General features: G+C 38.8%; 1 long non-coding RNA gene across 2 annotated transcripts in view; it reads right to left on the bottom strand.

The window, feature by feature from the left end:
* The window catches only part of LOC105374511 (uncharacterized), a 482,145-nt gene that overhangs the window by 404,094 nt on the left and 60,418 nt on the right, over positions 1 to 17,633 (bottom strand). The gene's annotated exons all lie outside the window — the stretch shown is intronic.

Here is a 17,633-nt window from a genome sequence, read left to right as displayed (position 1 = left end):
AATTACAAATTTAAAACACATTTTATATCTCAAACATATCCCGATTCTTGAGAAAGCATTGCAATTGATTGTACCTATTTGGAGGATAATGTGTATTGGTGCTCCTGCCAGCTACAACAGACCCAAAGTCAATCTTAACATAAACAGAAGTCGTAAGCACAACACATAGGCAAGTAAGTGGCCACCCACATGATCTGATTTCATATTCCTTCGAATATATAAATTTTCCCCTTCAAATCATTTTTTTTTCTTTCCCTAGAAGTAAAAGAAGGCCCTCCTGTCTCTATACAATTAAAGCTTTTTTATGAATAAGTCATTGTAGCAGTCATCTTAAAACAGATTTCTGGTTATAGGTATGAGATCCCCATGAACCTTAAAAAGAACTTACCTTAATCTTTCCTATATCAGGGAGTACCTAGCAGGGTGCCTGGTTATGGGTTGGTGTTAAGACAGGTTTGATGAATGGATAAATGAATGAATGCATGAATTTCCCATTAGAATATTTTTTCCCTTTAAAGTTTGTAGAGGTCTGATTAAAGTTTCTAGTAATCGTTTCATGATAGTGCAAATGAATTTCAGATAATTTCTTGGGGTCATGTGAAGAAAGACTACTGAGGCCTAAATAGTAATTTGAAGAAAGAAACTAGCATAGAGAGAATGAGGTCTCCAGAAACACTGTGCAGCTCCCTTTACTCCCACCCATTTTGTCTGGACAAAGGAACTCTGGATTCTTTCGAGTAGGATCACAAAGGTTTTCACTGAATAAGGAGTGGCAGCTGCCATATAGGAGGCTCCCGCTATGTGCTGGGAACTGTCCTAGGTATTTTGCGTGACTTATGTAACTTATTCCTCACAACAATCCTAAAAGGAGCAACCCAAAAAATTCTGTTTTTCAGAGGAGAAAACTGGGGCATGCAGTTTTCCAGAGGTCACTCCTCTTTTTAATTGGCAGGATCAGGATTTGAGAGAATCAAGTGCTCCTAACCATAAACCTTTCCCTTTGGAACCTAGAAAAAGCCTCTGAACATTGCCCACTGCTCTATGCTCAGTGTTTGGCTGGTGATGCCAAGAAGTGTAACAGGAGCTTGCACAGGAACTCTTCTGCATAGCTCTGGTCTAAAGTTCAGACTGAGGGCAGATTGCAGCAGGTTGGAGATGGGACTTGTAAAGAATGCTTGTGTGTCCCACATGTTTGGCATAGTAGACACCCTCTGTTCACCTCAAACTTGGCTGAAAAGACAGAATGCCCTGGCTTCAGATAACTCCAAATCTGCACCTATTGTTGATATTGATGTTCTTTCGTCTGGATGGGAATGACAGGCATCTTTTGTCCAGATCTGGCAGACATACCAGAGCAGAGCTGACTCTCCCTGAATGCAATGTAACCGCCAGCAACACAGACACTCCTAAGCCCCCTAAGTAATACAAATGCCCTTCTTTCCTTTGTCTCCACAAATTATTCATAAAAAATTGAATAAATTGAAATGCTATGTAGTTTATGAAGCAGCTGAACTCCAAATAGTTCTGAATCCTCCCATGCCCCATGAAGAAAGGGTGGGGAATATAAACCAGCTGGGATAAGAGGCAAGAAAAGAATGCCAAAGTTGGGGTTCCCAAGGGCCCTAACAACCAAGGCAGTTCAGAACTGCAAAAGGTAGGAGCCAGTCCAAGATAAAGTTGATCAGACGAAGTTGAGCGTCAAATGCCAGACATAACAAGTGCACCCTGAGTTCAAAGAGGAATAAGAAGAAAAGAATATTAAATATAAGCATCGCATATCACATGTTTTCTGTATAACATGTTCTGTCCTCAGCATTTTTAGTGAATTACTTCATTTAATTGAGGTAGACATTGTCATCCTCAGTCAAAGACAAAGCAGTGCTTGCTATGAAGTGTTAGGGATCTCCACTGAAGAAGCAAAGCAGAGAGTTTCCTACTGGAAGGCTCAAACCAAGTCACAGAACATTGCTACCTGTAATACAAGGTATGGGCCCAAGAGTTTATGGACAGGTTGATGTGAGATTAACCTGAGGGTGGGTCCTACATATGTGAAAAGTGCAAAAAAATTGCCAAGAATAACTTTCCTCAAAGATGAGAACTATCAGTTAGTGGATTTCTTAAACTGGATTTAGGGTTGAAGCAGAAAACAAAAAAGATTGCGGTAATTAAATGTTACAATTATATCAAATCATTTCAATACAAGGTACAGAATATGTTGAGACAGAGTCTCTGTTGCCCAGGCTGGAGTGCAGTGGCACTATCTCAGCTCAGGCTCACTGCAACCTCTGCCTCCCGGGTTCAAGCAATTCTCCTGCCTCAACCTCCCAAGTAGCTGGGATTACAGGTGTGTGCCACCATGCCCAGTTAATTTTTGTACTTTTAATAGAGACGGGGTTTCGCCATGTTGGCCAGGCTGGTCTCGAACTCCTGACCTCAAGTGATCCGCCTGCCTCAGTGTCCAAAAGTACTGGGATTACAGGCATGAGCCACCATGCCCGGCAATGTATTTTGCATTTTTGAAGTAGATATCATTTTCTCCTGAATTGCTTTTTGTCATGAGATTGTCAGATCTGAGAGATGGCTTATCTTTTAGTTACTTTTAGTTATTTTTCTGTGTATAAGGAAATACAGCAAATGAGATACGCAGTTCTTTGTGGGAAAACATGTAAGTCTTGTTCATTTTCCTTATAAAAATAATTTCTAAATTTTACATATTGCATTTTGTGTATGCTTATATACATTTAGATTCTGTGCCAATTGTTGGGTGGTAGGCAGAATAATGGCCTGAAAAGATATACAAATCCTAATGCTAACAGTCTGAGAATATGTTATATTACAAGGCAAAAGATAATTAAAGCAGCTCATCAGCTGGATTATCTGAGTGTCCTCAATATAATTACCAGGTTCTCAAAAGTGATAAAGAGAGGCAAGGAGAAGAATCAGAGAAAAAGATGTGATGGTCAAAGTAAATTAGACTAAGGTAACCTGAGACTCCAATTATTAATTCTGGCTTTCAAGGTGGAGGAAGGTAGACTATGAGCCAACCCTGCCTCTAAAAAGTTAGAAAACACAAATAAATAGATTCTCCCCTAGAATGCCCAGAAAAGAATGTAGCCCTCATGACACCTTGATGTGATCCTAGTGAGTCCTGGGTCAGACTTCTGACACACAAAACTTGGGATGAGAAATTTGTGTTGTTTTATGCTGCTAAATTTGTGGTAATTTGCTCCAGCAACAATAGAAAACTAATAAAGGTGAAATGTTATCTAAATATATTGCTTCTTTTGTTTTTCTTCATAAAATATCATGATCTGGCATTTAAAATTTGGAGGCATGATGCTCATCTCTGATTATCTTCAGAGGGAACAACCATCTAAAGGAGTCCTGTAGCACTGTCCTCTGGCTTTTCTTTTTCTTTTTTAGTTGACAAGTAATAATTCTACATATTTATGGGAGATAGAGTGATATTTTGATCTGTGCATACAATATATAATAATCAAATCACAGTAACTAGCATATGTTTTGCCTCAAACCTTCATCATTTCTTTGTTGTTGTGAACATTCAAAATCCTCCTCCAGCTTTTTGAAAGTATACAATAAATTATAGCTAACCATATTCATGCTACAGTGCTGCAAAACACAAAAACTCATTCTCTCTATCTAGCTATAATTTTGTATCCCTTAATCAACCTCTCTCTGTCTTCCTTTCCCTCCTACACTTACCAGCCTCTAATAACTAGAATTCTACTTTCTATTTCCATGAGCTTAAAAAAATCATTTTGGCTCCCACATGAGTGAGAACATAAGGTATTTTTCTTTCTGTACGTGACTTATTTCACTTAACATATTGTCCTCTAGGCTCATCCATGTTGCACAAATAACAGGATTTTATTATTTTTTATGGCAGAATAGTATTCCACTATGCATCTACACCACATTTTCTTTATCCATTCATCTGTGGATGGATATATCTTAGCTATTGTGAATAGTGCTGCAATAAACATGGACCTATAGATATTCCTTTTATTTCTTTATGTACTATTGTTTTTTTTTTTTTTGAGATGGAGTCTCACTCTGTTGCTCAGCCTGGAATGCAGTGGCACAATCTCACTCACTCACTGCAACCTCCGCCTCCCAATTTCAAGCAATTCTCCTGTCTTAGCCTCCTGAGTAGCTGGGACTATAGGCGCACACCACCTCGCCCAGCTAATTTTTGTATTTTAGTACAGACAGGTCTTCACCATATTGGTCAGGTTGGTCCCAAACTCCTGACCTCAGGTGATCCACCTGCTTCAGCCTCCCAAAGTGCTGGGATTACAGGCATGAGCCACTGCATCTGGCTGGTATTCCTTTAAAATACTGATTTCCTTTCCTCTGGATAAATACCCACTGTAGGATTGCTGGAATGCATGGTTGTTCTATTTTTAGTTTTTTGAGAGGCCTCCATACTGTTTTTCATAATGGCTGCAATAATTTATATTCTCACAGTGTATTAAGAGTTTTCTTTTTCTGCATCTTAGCCAACATTTTCTTTGTCTTTTTGATAATAGCCATTCTAACTGTGATAAGATGATATCTCATTATGGTTTTGATTTGCATTCATCTGATTATTAGTGTTGTTGAGTATTTTTTCATGTATGTTGGTCATTTGTATGTCCTCTTTTGAGAATTCTTTTTTAATGGAATTGCCTGTTGTCATTTTTTTTGCTGTTTAGTTGTTTGAGTTTATTGTATATTCTGGATAGTGGTCCCTGGTTGGACGAATAATTTTCAAATATTTTCTCTCATTCAATAGGTTGTTTCTTCATTCTGTTAATTGTTTCCTTTGCTGTAGAGAAGGTTTTCCATACAATATAGTTCCATTTCTCTCTCTCTGTCTCTCTTTTTCTTTTTGCCAATGGCTTTGATGTCTTCACTATAAAGTCTTTGCCTAGGCTAATATTCTAAAATGCTTTCCGAGTTTTCTTCTAGTAGCTTCATAATTTGGGGGCTTACATTCATGTCTTTAATCCATTTTGGGTTAATTTTTTTATATAGTGAAAGACAGGAGAGTCCAGTCTCATTCTTGTGCATGTGGATATTCAGTTTTCCCAGCTCCATTTAATGTACGCTTTGGCACCTTTTCAAAAATCAGCTGGCTCTAAATGTGTGGTTTTTTTCTAGATTCTCTATTGTGTTTCATTCTCTATTGTCTGTTTTTATAGGAATACCATGCTCTTTTGGTGACTGTGGCTTTTTAATATATTTTGAAGGCAGGTAGTGGGATGCCTCTGGTTTCGTTCTTTTTGATCAGTATTGCTTTAGCTATTCAAGTTTTTTGTAGTCCCATATAAATTTTAGAACTATTTCTTTTTCTATTTCCATGAAAAATGTAGTTGGTAGTTTGATAGGAATTGCATTGAATTTTAGATTGCTTTGGGTAGTACGGTCATTTTAACAATATTAATTATTCCACTGAATTTGGTGTGTCTTTCCATTTGTTTGTGTTCTATTCAATTTCTTTCATCAGTGTTTTGTAGTTTATGTTATAGTGTTATTTTGTATCTTTGATTAAATTTATTTTTACCTATTTTAGACATTTTTTGTAGCTATTGTAAATGGGATTATTTTCTTTATTCCTTGTTCAGTTAGTCCATTTTTGGTGAATAGAAACACTAATAATTTTTTAAGTTGATTTTTTATCCCACAATTTTACTGTTGCAAGATACAGTAGTATATAAATTCTAAGAGTTCTGTAGTGCAAACTTTAGGTTTTTCTATCTGTAAGCTCATATTATTTACAAAGAAGGACAATTTGACTTTTTCTTTTCCAATGTGGATTTTTTTCTCTTGCTTAATTGCTCTGGCTAGAACTTCCAGTGTATGCTGAATGCAAGTGCTCAAAGTGGGCATCCTTGTCTTGTTCCAGTTCTTAGAGGAAAGGCTTTTGGCTTTTCCCCATTCTGTGTGATGTTAGCTGTGGGTTTGTTATATATGGCATTTATTATGTTGAGGAGTGTTTTTTCTATGCCTAATTCTTGAGCACTTTTATCATGAAATGATACTGACTTTTTTCATATGCTTTTTCTGTGTCTATTGAGATGATTATATGGTATTTGTTTTTTATTCTATTGATGTGATTTATTTATTTATGTTAAAACATCCTTGCATTTCTGGAATAAATTCCATGTGATTGTGTTAGATTATCCTACCCTTGAAGTCTCTCGCTAATTTTTCATTTACCACTACCACCCTCTAGTCCCTGCTCCTTGGCTATAAATTCCTACTTGTTCCTGTTGTATTCAGAATTGAGCTTCCTTCTATACTGATGTCTCTTTTCTCTGTTTACAAGAGTTACTAAATAAAATATATCTTTACTGCTTTATTTATTTACTTATTGTATTTTTCAGCTTTATTGAGGTATAATTGACAAATAAAATTGTACATATTCAAGGTATAAAATATGGTGTTCTGATATACATATAATTGTGAAATGATTACTACAATCAAGATAAATGTAAGTGGATTAAATCTTTCAATCAAAAGACATAAAGTGGCTGAATGGATAAAATAAAACTCAATTATATGCTGCTTAAAGAGACCCACCTCAGCTTGAAGAACAAACATAGACTGAAAGTGAAGGGATAAAAAAAAATCATGCAAATGGAAACTAAAAGAAAGCTAGGGTAACTACACTTATATCAGACAAAATATACTTGAAGTCTAAAACTATAGAAAGAGACAAACTCATTATATAATGATAAAGGGGTCAATTCATCAGGGATATGTAACAATTGTAAGTATATATGCACCCAACATTGGAGCACCTCAATATATAAAGCAAATGTTAAAATATCTGAAAGATAGACAGGAATACAGTTATAGTAGTGGCCTTTAATACCTTACTTTCAACAATAGATAGATCATCCAAACAGAAAATCAATAAGGAAACACTGGACTTGAACCCTACTTTAAACCAAATGGACCTAAGAGACAAAGGTAGAGCATTTCATCTAACAGCCACAGAACAAATATTATTGTATTTACTGCCTTTAACTAGCATCTGGCTCTGGTTCTATTTGACAGTCTCCAGCAATATATAACATATTCACAATATAATGTAGGTAATATATCTCAGCTTTTGACTGTATCTTCATAACATCAAAGAAATAAATTGAAAGTGAAACACTAATTCAATCATACGTTTACTTTTTGTCATGTCCCCAACTACTTTTTTCAAATTTATGTTTTAAATTGACATATGTATTTGTCATGTACAACATAATTTCTGATGCATATGTATAAATGAATGATGAAATCTAGCTAGCTAACAAATGCATCATCCCACATATTATTTTTGTGGAAAGAGCACTCAATATATACTATCTTGGCATTTCTCAAGAATGCAGTATATTATTGTATACTGCATTCTTGAGAAATAATATAGTTATGGAGTCTTATTTTTTATCAAAGTATATTGTCAAGTATTTTTTAATTTACTTGTAAAAAAATGGCCAGACATTTTTAGCATGCTGTGGGCCACATGTTAGACATGCAAGTATATTGTTTAGCTACTGTTTTTTTCACATGCGCAACAATGAATAAAATTTTAATGTTTAAATAACAATTTCCATTCTCATTATGAGTAATTTACTTAATTTAAAGGGAATGTGATGTGTTTTCACCAATTAATTTTTTTTTTTTTTTTTTTTTTTTTTGTGGTGAGGGAGGGAGTCTCGCTCTGTCTCCAGGAGGCTAAAGTGCAATGTCACGATCTCAGCTCACTGCAACCTTGGCCTCTCAGGTTCAAGCGATTCTCCTGCCTCAGCCTCCAGAGTAGCTGGGACTATAGGTGTGCACCACCACACCCAGCTAATTTTTGTATATTTAGTAGAGACGAGGTTTCACCATCTTGCCGAGGATGGTCTCCATTTCCTGACTTCAGGTGATCCGCCTGCCTTGGCCTCCCAAAGTGCTCAGATTACAGGGGTGAGCCACCACGCCTGGCCCTTTTTTTTTTCTTCTTCTTTTTTTAATAGAGACGGAGTTTTGTTCCTGTTGCCCAAGCTGGAGTGCAATGGCGCTATCTCGGCTCACTGCAACCTCCACCTCCCAGGTTCAAGCGATTCTCCTGCCTCAACCTCCCGAGTACCTGGGATTACAGGTGCATGCCACCGCTCCTGGCTAATTTTTTGTATTTTTTAGTAGAAACAGGGTTTCACCACGTTAGCCAGGCTAGTCTTGAAATCCTGACCTCAGCTGATCTGCCCACTTCAGCCTCCCAAACTGCTGGGATTACAGGTGTGAGCCACCATGTCTGTCCCAATTAATACTTTTCTATGGAACTCTAGAGCTTAGAAAAAACCTAAAGATCCATTCAAGCCAATATTCCATCTTGTCTCCAGAAAGGACAAGTGTAGCCATCTGGGCCAAGAGTTGGTGGTACTTTTTTTGTTTTTTTTGAGGTTTGCTCTGTCACTCAGGTTGGAGTGCAGTGGCGATCTTGGCTCACTGCAACCTCCACCTCCCAGGTTCAAGCGATTCTCCTGCCTCAGCCTCCTGAGTAGCTGGGATTACAGGCTAATTTTTTTGTATTTTTAGTAGAGACAGGGTTTCACCGTGTTAACCAGGATGGTCTCGATCTCCTGACCTCATGATCCGCCCGCCTTGGCGTCCCAAAGTACTGGGATTACAGGTGTGAGCCACGGCGCCCGGCCAGGTGGGAATTTTTAAGAGTCTGGAGGGTGACTATTGCCCATATTGTTATCCTATACATTTATTACATGCCTTCTACATGAACAGCTTATAACTTTCAATGTATTTAGCCAGAGAAATAGGACATAATTAAATGTCTAAATGAAATGGCTCATATCTAAGACAATTGTTCCATTTATCATGACATTAGTACACTTGGTTTTTTAAGTTCAAAAGTTAATCATAAATTTTAAAACTCTAGAATTATTAGTATATAACTAAAAACTGAAAATAACTATCAAAATTGTAGTTACTGAGTTATTTGTGTCAGACATTTTTCTCTTTCACTTAATAATGACTTAACAAATGGCATTTGTTCCAGGCACTTCTAACCATACAAAATGGAATAATGTAAGTTTCAAATTTGAGGAATACAAATGCAGTTGAGTAAATAATGAACTTTACTTATATACTGAGCTCCAATATGTGGTAGGATTGTAACACAAGTATATTAAATCTCAAGGCACTTCAAAAAATGACTACACACTATTAGACTGTGGACATTTAAAAGGCTTTATAATAGAAGTGGCAAGTAAGTTAACCCTTGAAAGATGAGTAATATTTGATGGGCAGGATAAGGCGTATGACTTATGTAGTGGAGCAAACAGCATGAGTAAAGTAGACACAGGGCAGATCGTATTTTTGAGGTTCAATGAATAGTTCAATTTAGCATAAATGTAGAGCATGGGTGTGAGAAAATTTTAAGATAGTACTAGAAAATGCTTATGTCCAGAGATTAGAAGATAGTTTAGAGATTGGTGGAAGTGATTCTAATTATTTGTGCTGCCCTGAGTTAAAGTATTAGTGTTAATTAGGACAGTTGGGAGAATGGATAGCTTATAGAAAAGGATCTATTATAAAGTTGCTGGAATAATCCATAGAAGAGGTAATAATTGTCTGAACTGGATTGAGGCAGAAGGGATAAAGGGGTGGCACATATTCCAGAGATATGGCAGCATTTCCAGAGCTTGTCTCTCTGTCACCCGGGTAGACTAAGAGAACAGGAGGAGCTATTGATAACTCCCAGGGTTCAATCTTTTATAACAGATCTTTTATGACATTCATGGAAATAGAGATTAGTCACAGTAGCTATTCTGGGTGTAAAAAAAAAAGGATGAACTTGATTTGGGGGTATGTTGCTTAAGGATGCCCTCGGGACATTTAGGAGGGGATGATCAGTATCCATTAGAAATAGAGGATGTCTGCTTGGCAGAGAAGCCGATGGGGATCTGACGATATGGAAGATGTCAAATAACACACTGGAATGCAATTTCAGAGGGAGAGAATTTAGAGAAGATAAGGAAAGCGAGTTCAAATAGAACCGAAGGGGAGACTTACAGTGAGGTATCAACAATGAGGATTCAAAGAGAAGTGAGTTTACGAAGGAAAGAAATGGTTCCAACAAGGAATATCGGAGTGAGGTCAAATGATGAGATGTCTAAGACTGTAACTATATTTTATCATTACAAAGCAGCAGTTCTAGAAAAGTGGCAGGGGTAGAACATATATGACAAGGGGCTCATGAGTGACTGTATAGGAATGCAGAGAGAGTGAGAAAACATGCATTTCCAAAGGGTTTCGTAATTTAAGATGCATATGTGGAACAGGATCTTGGTGAGGTGGTGAGGGGATTAATGTCATTCCTTTGTGCTAAATTACTATAGTAAGTGCAGTTGCATGAAAACACCAATAAAACAGATGCAGATATGAAAATTAGGAGACTGATTATATTTATTTTTATGTATATAACATATTATATATTTATATATTAATACATGCATAAACCACTCTTAGATGCATATACCGTTTTGTTTTTGGGCTTTTTGTTTGTTTGTTTGTTTGCTTTTCTGAGACAGAGTCTCTCTGTCACCCAGGCTGGAGTGCAGTGGCGTGATCTCGGATCACTGCAACCTTTGCCTCCCGGATTCAAGTGATTCTCCTACCTCAGCCTCCTGAGTAGCTGGGACTACAGGTGTGTGCCACCATGCCGGCTAATTTTTTGTACTTTTAGTAGAGATGGGGTTTCACCAGGTTAGCCAGCATGGTCTCGATCTCCTGACCTCGTGATCCACCACCTCGGCCTCCCAAAGTGCTGGGATTACAGGTGTGAGCCACCGTGACCGGCCTGCATATTCAATTTTTTAAAAATATATCCAGATTCAAGTTTATGTGCCTTTAAGTTCATCCAGGATCCTTGTCAAAATCTTATCCTAAATGGGAGAATTGTGTGCAAACATTTCCCCTGTAAAGTCATTAAGCTTTTAAAATAACAGGAATAGCAGTCTTCTAAATTTTATCTGACTTCCTAGCCTGTTAATTTGGAGATGCTTTGAACCACTACTTATCTACATAAATACCAGAAATTGATTTCCATCAAGAGAAATGATCAACCCTTAATGAAGTTGGAAGTTCCAGCAGATAATCCATGTCACCAACAGAAACTCCAGATCTATGTTAAACAGATCAAATCATCTTTTGAAATTTCTGATACAACAGAGTTAGGTCTAGAAAACCAAGGAGATTTGGGCTGATGACTATATATTTCAGCCAGGGATGATGGAAAGCCTCTTTGGTAATCTGCACATTCCTTGCTTCCTTCAGAGAGCCTAAATATGCAGTGACTTCAAAGTTCAAAATAAACTATTAATGATGCAGGAAAATATGTAATATAGAAGTTTTTGGTATTAGCAGAAAATGCAGGTGGATGATTTTAGAGATGAATGTTTTGAAATTCCTATGCTAATTCCAGCAATTCAGGCAATTCTTGATAGTACGTATATCTTCAAAGGGGGCCAACACCCTCATGATCATTATGACAGCATGTCCACATATAGCTTGGATACATAAACCAAACAATAGAAAATGGCTCTTCAGATGGCAAATTCTAAGCTTTAGCATTGATTTGCAATCTTGAATCTAGTTGAACAATTTGTCCTTGATTCAATTTCTTTTTAATTAAATTGTACTATGACATTTTGAATTTGTTTGTTTTTTTTCTGAGTTTTCTTTTTTTCCATGCAGATGCAATACCTTTGTCCCTCAGAATAGTCTGCATGTTCACTATAAGAAATTGTATTTTTTAATGTTTCTGGCCCTGTGAAAAACTGAATATTTTGAGAGTAGGGGTCAAGCCTTCAGCTTGGAGAAGCTCAACACATTTTTACAGAATAACCTGAATATACCCAACGAGTTATTTCCCAAAGCAATTTATATGCACAGAAAGAGTTGTGATTTCTTTTTTCCTCTTGACTTTCACAAAAATAAAGGGCTAATATCACCAGCGGGCAAATTTTGTAAAATTACTCTCCAAGTGTTTCAACAAAACCTGCCAACACAACTCAAGCCCAAACTTCCTCCGTCCCTGCTTTGTGGCAAAGGGCCTCACTGGGAACGGCTGCCAGTCACACAGACAGAGCCAAATTGTTTAGTGGATTTGGGAAGTGGACAGATGTTCTCCTGGGACGATGGAGACAGGCACTGCCACATACATTTTCACTTGATGTGTTAACCAATATTTTTAGCCAATTATTCAGAGGCGACCAGCAGTTAATGCATGCAAAGGCAGGAACTAGAATCATCACTCACGGCTTCTACACAGCCCCAAACTCCTGCCAAAGTGTTAAATACCTCTTGGGTTCTGAAAAACACAGAGTGCATTTGCGTGCCCTTGGATGTGCTCCTTGAGACTTCTATGAGAACATCTAAAGCTAATTATGAAATGGTCATTGTGAATGAATAAATATGAGAAAATAAAACAAATGCTGAGGTTGTATACTTCAAAATACTAAACATGAAAGAATGAGTTTTACATATGAAAATGCATTTGAGGTCTCAAAGGTAATTACCCCAAGGCAGTGGAATAGTGCAATAAAAACAATAGCAGCTGGGCCACACCGATGATATACTGTGCTAACTGCTATTAAGCTAATTTGCAGCAGAAATATGGTGTAATAAGATCTATAATTTTTAATGGAAAAATAGCAAAACATAAAAAGCCTATGTTGTCCATTTTATTTAGAGAGATAACAGCAAAAGAGAGTCAATGATTAGAATCTTTACTTCCAAACATCCATATGCCTAAGGCCACAGTGTTGCTAACATTTTCTCTCTGATTTAAACAAGGCAAACTTGGAGCTAGTACCTGGAAAGTAAGAAGATAAAGGGATGTAAACATTGTTTCCAAGAAGCTTGCAATGCTATTCATCATATTTAAAGTAGCAATTTCTTCCTAGAAGAAATTGTACTACATGAATATATATATATATGTATGTATATATGTACGTGTATATGTACGTATATACGTATATATGTACGTGTATATGTACGTATATACGTATGTATGTACGTGTATATGTACGTGTATACGTATGTATGTACGTGTATATGTACGTGTATACGTATGTATGTACGTGTGTATGTACGTGTATACGTATGTATGTACGTGTGTATGTACGTGTATACGTATGTATGTACGTGTGTATGTACGTGTATACGTATGTATGTACGTGTGTATGTACGTGTATACGTATGTATGTACGTGTGTATGTACGTGTATACGTATGTATGTACGTGTGTATGTACGTGTATACGTATGTATGTACGTGTGTATGTACGTGTATACGTATGTATGTACGTGTGTATGTACGTGTATACGTATGTATGTACGTGTGTATGTACGTGTGTATGTACGTGTGTATGTACGTGTGTATGTACGTGTGTATGTATGTACGTGTGTATGTACGTGTGTATGTATGTACGTGTGTATGTACGTGTGTATGTATGTACGTGTGTATGTACGTGTGTATGTATGTACGTGTGTATGTACGTGTGTATGTATGTACGTGTGTATGTACGTGTGTATGTATGTACGTGTGTATGTACGTGTGTATGTATGTACGTGTGTATGTATGTACGTGTGTATGTATGTATGTATGTATGTATGTATATACATATATGTATAATACTCATTTCTATAATAAAGTTTTTTAAAGAAAGGTATCAATGTGGCAGACTATAGAACTGTATCTGCCAGTGTCCTGTCCATAAAACAAAAATGCTTTGAGTTTTTCAGAAATACATAATATAATAGAGGAAATTGGTTAGTCAGATAATGAATTATTGGTAAACCAAACAGGGGACTAAAAGGCCAGCCAGAGATGACCAACTGCAGGAGACATCTATCAGTCTCACAATGGGAGAGAGCAGAAAGCATGGTACCACTCAAAGCTGGGGACACCATGTAGGAGCTGGATCCAAGGAGGTTGACTGCCCCGTGGCAGCTGAGACCACAGAAAGAGGGGCTGAGGGAGGTGAGAGCTGGAACCATAAAAGACACACAGTAACTGCGCTGAAAACTGTTTTCAGGCAGAAGTGGGATTAATACTTTGATTCTCCCTTTCCTACACCCGCAAGTCTCCTGCAGGTGCTTCCTATTGGCAAATCCAGCCAGAAGCCAGTAGGCAAGGTATCTAGGTGCTATAGATTGAATGTTTATGTTTCCCCAAAATAAATATGTTAAAATCTAATCCATCCTCACTATGATGATATGTGGAGGCCTTCAGGAGTTGGGGCCCACTCATATGCATGGATTTAGTGCCCTTATACAAGAGACCTTAGAAGGGGTCCTTCCCCTTTTTGCCATGAAAGGATAAAGTTAGAAGTCAGCAGTCTGGACATGGCGTGGTGGCTCATTCCTGTAATCCCAGCACTTTGGGAGGCCGAGGTGGTTGGATCATCTGAGGTCAGGGGTTCCAGACTAGCCTGGCCAACATGGTGAAACCCCGTCTCTGCTAAAAAAATACGAAAATAAGCCAGGCGTGGTGGTATGTGCCTGTAATCCCAGCTACTCAGGAGGCTGAGGCAGGAGAATCACTTGAACCGTGGGGTGGAGGTTGCAGTGAGCTGCGATCATGCCACTGCACTCCAGCCTGGGCAACAAGAGTGAAACTCCGTCTCAAAAAAAAAAAAAAGAAAAAAATCAGCAGTCTGAAATTCTGAAGAGATCCCTCAGCAAAACCTGGCCATGCTGGCACCCTGATCTCAGATTTCCAGCCTTCCAGTAAGAAATAAATTTCTGCTGCATATAAGCCTCCCAGCCTATAGTAATTTGTTATAGCTGCCTGGGCTGACTAAGGCCCTGGGACACAGAGCCTAGGGAGAGCAGATGAAATGAGAGAAACTTGAAAAACGACCAGCACTCTTTCCAAAGCATAGCCTTGCTGTTCCACCCAAATCCACATGACCACAATCTCTTCCCTAAATGACTACAATGGTCTGCCACAGCTCCCCCACTACAACTCTGACTTCCCTCCCTTTTCCACACTGGAGAGAGAATGGTCTCTTCACATTCCCTAATCTGATCACAAGCACTCTGGTCCCTTTAAAACCTTTCAATGTCTTCTACTGCTCTTGGGAGAAAGACAAAACTCTTCATGTGACTGACATGCACCTTCAGGAGCTGGTTCAGCCTAGCTCTGAGGCTCATCTCAGTCACTACTCCTTTACTGTCTATATGATGGTGGTTCTGGTCTTCTTGATAAGTGGTCATTGATTCATTCAATCACTCAGCAAAACTTTATTAGGGGTGTATTAATCTTTTTTGGCACTGCTGATAAAGGCATACCCAAGACTAGGCAATTTACAAAAGAAAGAGGCTTATTGGACTCAAATAAAACAGTTCCACATGTCTAGGGAGGCCTCACAATGATAGGCAAAGGTGAAAAGCACATCTCACATGGTGGCAGACAAGAGAATAGAGCTTGTGCAGGGACCCCACCCCCTTTTTTTAAACCATTAAATCTTGTGAGACTTATTCACTATCACAAGAACAGTATGGGAAAGACCCACCCCCATGATTCAATTAATTCCCACCAGGTTCTTCCCACAACATGTGGGAATTATGGGAGCTACAAGGTGAGATTTGGGTGGGGACACAGAGCCATACCATATCATTTCACCCCGACCCCTCCTAAATCTCATGTCTTCACATTTCAAAACCAATCATGCCTTCCCAACAGTTTCCCAAAGTCTTAACTCATTTCAGCATTAACACAAAAGTCCACAGTCCAAAGTCTCATCTGAGGCAAGGCAAGTCCTTTCCTCCTATGAGCCCATAAAATCAAAAGCAAGTTAGTTGCTTCCTAGATACAATGGGGGTATAGGCATCAGGTAAAGACAGCTGTTCCAAATTGGCCAAAACAAAAGGGCTACAGGCCCCATGCACATTTGAAATCCAGCAGGGCAGTCAAATCTTAAAGCTCCAAAATGATCTCCTTTGAATTCATGTCTCACATCCAGCTCATACTGATGCAACAGGTGGATTCTCATGTTCTTGTTCAGCTCTGCCCCTGTGGCTTTGCAGGATATAGCCTCCCTCCTGGCTGCCTTCATGAGCTGGTGTTGAGTGTCTGCGGCTTTTCCAGGCACACAGTGCAAGCTGTCAGTGGATCTACCATTCTGGGGTCTGGAGGACAATGGCCCTCTTTTCACAGCTCCACCAGGTGGTGCCCCAGTAGGGACTCTGTGTGGGGGCTCCAACCCCACATTTCCCTTCTGCACTGCTCTAGCAGAGGTTCTCCATGAGAGCACCATTCTTGTAGTAAACTTCTGCCTAGACATCTGGGCATTTCCATACATCCTCTGAAATCTAGGCCAAGGTTCCCAAGCCTCAATTCTTGATTTCTGTGCACCTGCATGCAGGCTCAACACCATGTGGAAGCTGTCAAGGCATGGGGCTTGCACCCTCTGAAACCACTGCCCAAACTCTACATTGGCCCCTTTCAGCCGCAGTTGGAGTGGCTGGGATGCAGGGCACCAAGTTCCTAGGCTGCACACAGCACAGGGACCCTGGGCCCAGTCCAGAAAACCACTTCTTCCTCCTAGGCCTCTGGACCTGTGATGGGAGTGACTGCTGTGAAGACCTCTGGCATGCCCTGGAGATATTTTCCCCATTGTCTTGGGGAATAACATTCAGCTCCTTGTTATTTATGCAAATTTCTGCAGCCAGATTGAATTTCTCCTCAGAAAATGGGATTTTCTTTTCTATCACATTGTCAGTCTGCAAATTTTCTGAACTTTTATGCTCTGCTGCCCTTATAAAGCTGAATGCCTTTAATAGCACCCAAGTCATCTCTTGAATGCTTTGCTGCTTAGAAATTCTTTCATCAGATACCCTAAATCATCTCTCTCAAGTTGCAAGTTCTACAAATCTCTAGGGCGGGGGCAAATACTGCCAGTCTCTTGGCTAAAACATAACAAGAGTCACCTTTGTTCCAGTTCCCAACAATTTCCTCATCTCTATCTGAGACCTCCTCAGCCTGGACCTTATGGTTCATATCACTATCAGCATTTTGGTCAAAGCCATTCAACAATGCTCTAAGAAGTTCCAAACTTTCCCACACTTTTCCGTCGTCTTCTGAGCCCTCCAAACCATTCCAACCTCTGCCTGTTACCCAGTTCCAAAGTTGCTTTCACATTTTAGCATATCTTTTTATCAGTGCTCCACTCTACTGTTACCTATTTACTGTATTATTTTGTTTTCATGCTGCTGATAAAGATATACTCAAGACTGGCCAATTTACAAAAGAAAGAGGTTTATTGGACTTACAGTTCAATGTGGCTGGGGAGGCCTCACGATCATGGCAGAAGGTGAAAGGCACATCTCACATGGCAGCAGACAAAAGAAGAGAGCTTGTACAGGGAAGTTGTGGTTTTTAAAACCATCAGATCTGGTGAGATTTATTCACTTTCATGAGAACAGCATGAGAAAAACCCATCCCCATGATTCAATTATCTCCCACCAGGTCCCTCCCATGACACATGGGAATTTGGAGAGCTACAAGATTAAATTTGGGTGGGGACACAGCCAAGCCATATCAAAGGATCTAGTTCTTGTCAGGCAT

Source organism: Homo sapiens, chromosome 4 (assembly GCF_000001405.40).
Source record: "Homo sapiens chromosome 4, GRCh38.p14 Primary Assembly".
Lineage (NCBI taxonomy): Eukaryota > Metazoa > Chordata > Mammalia > Primates > Hominidae > Homo > Homo sapiens.
This window is presented reverse-complemented; position numbering and strand designations above follow the sequence as displayed.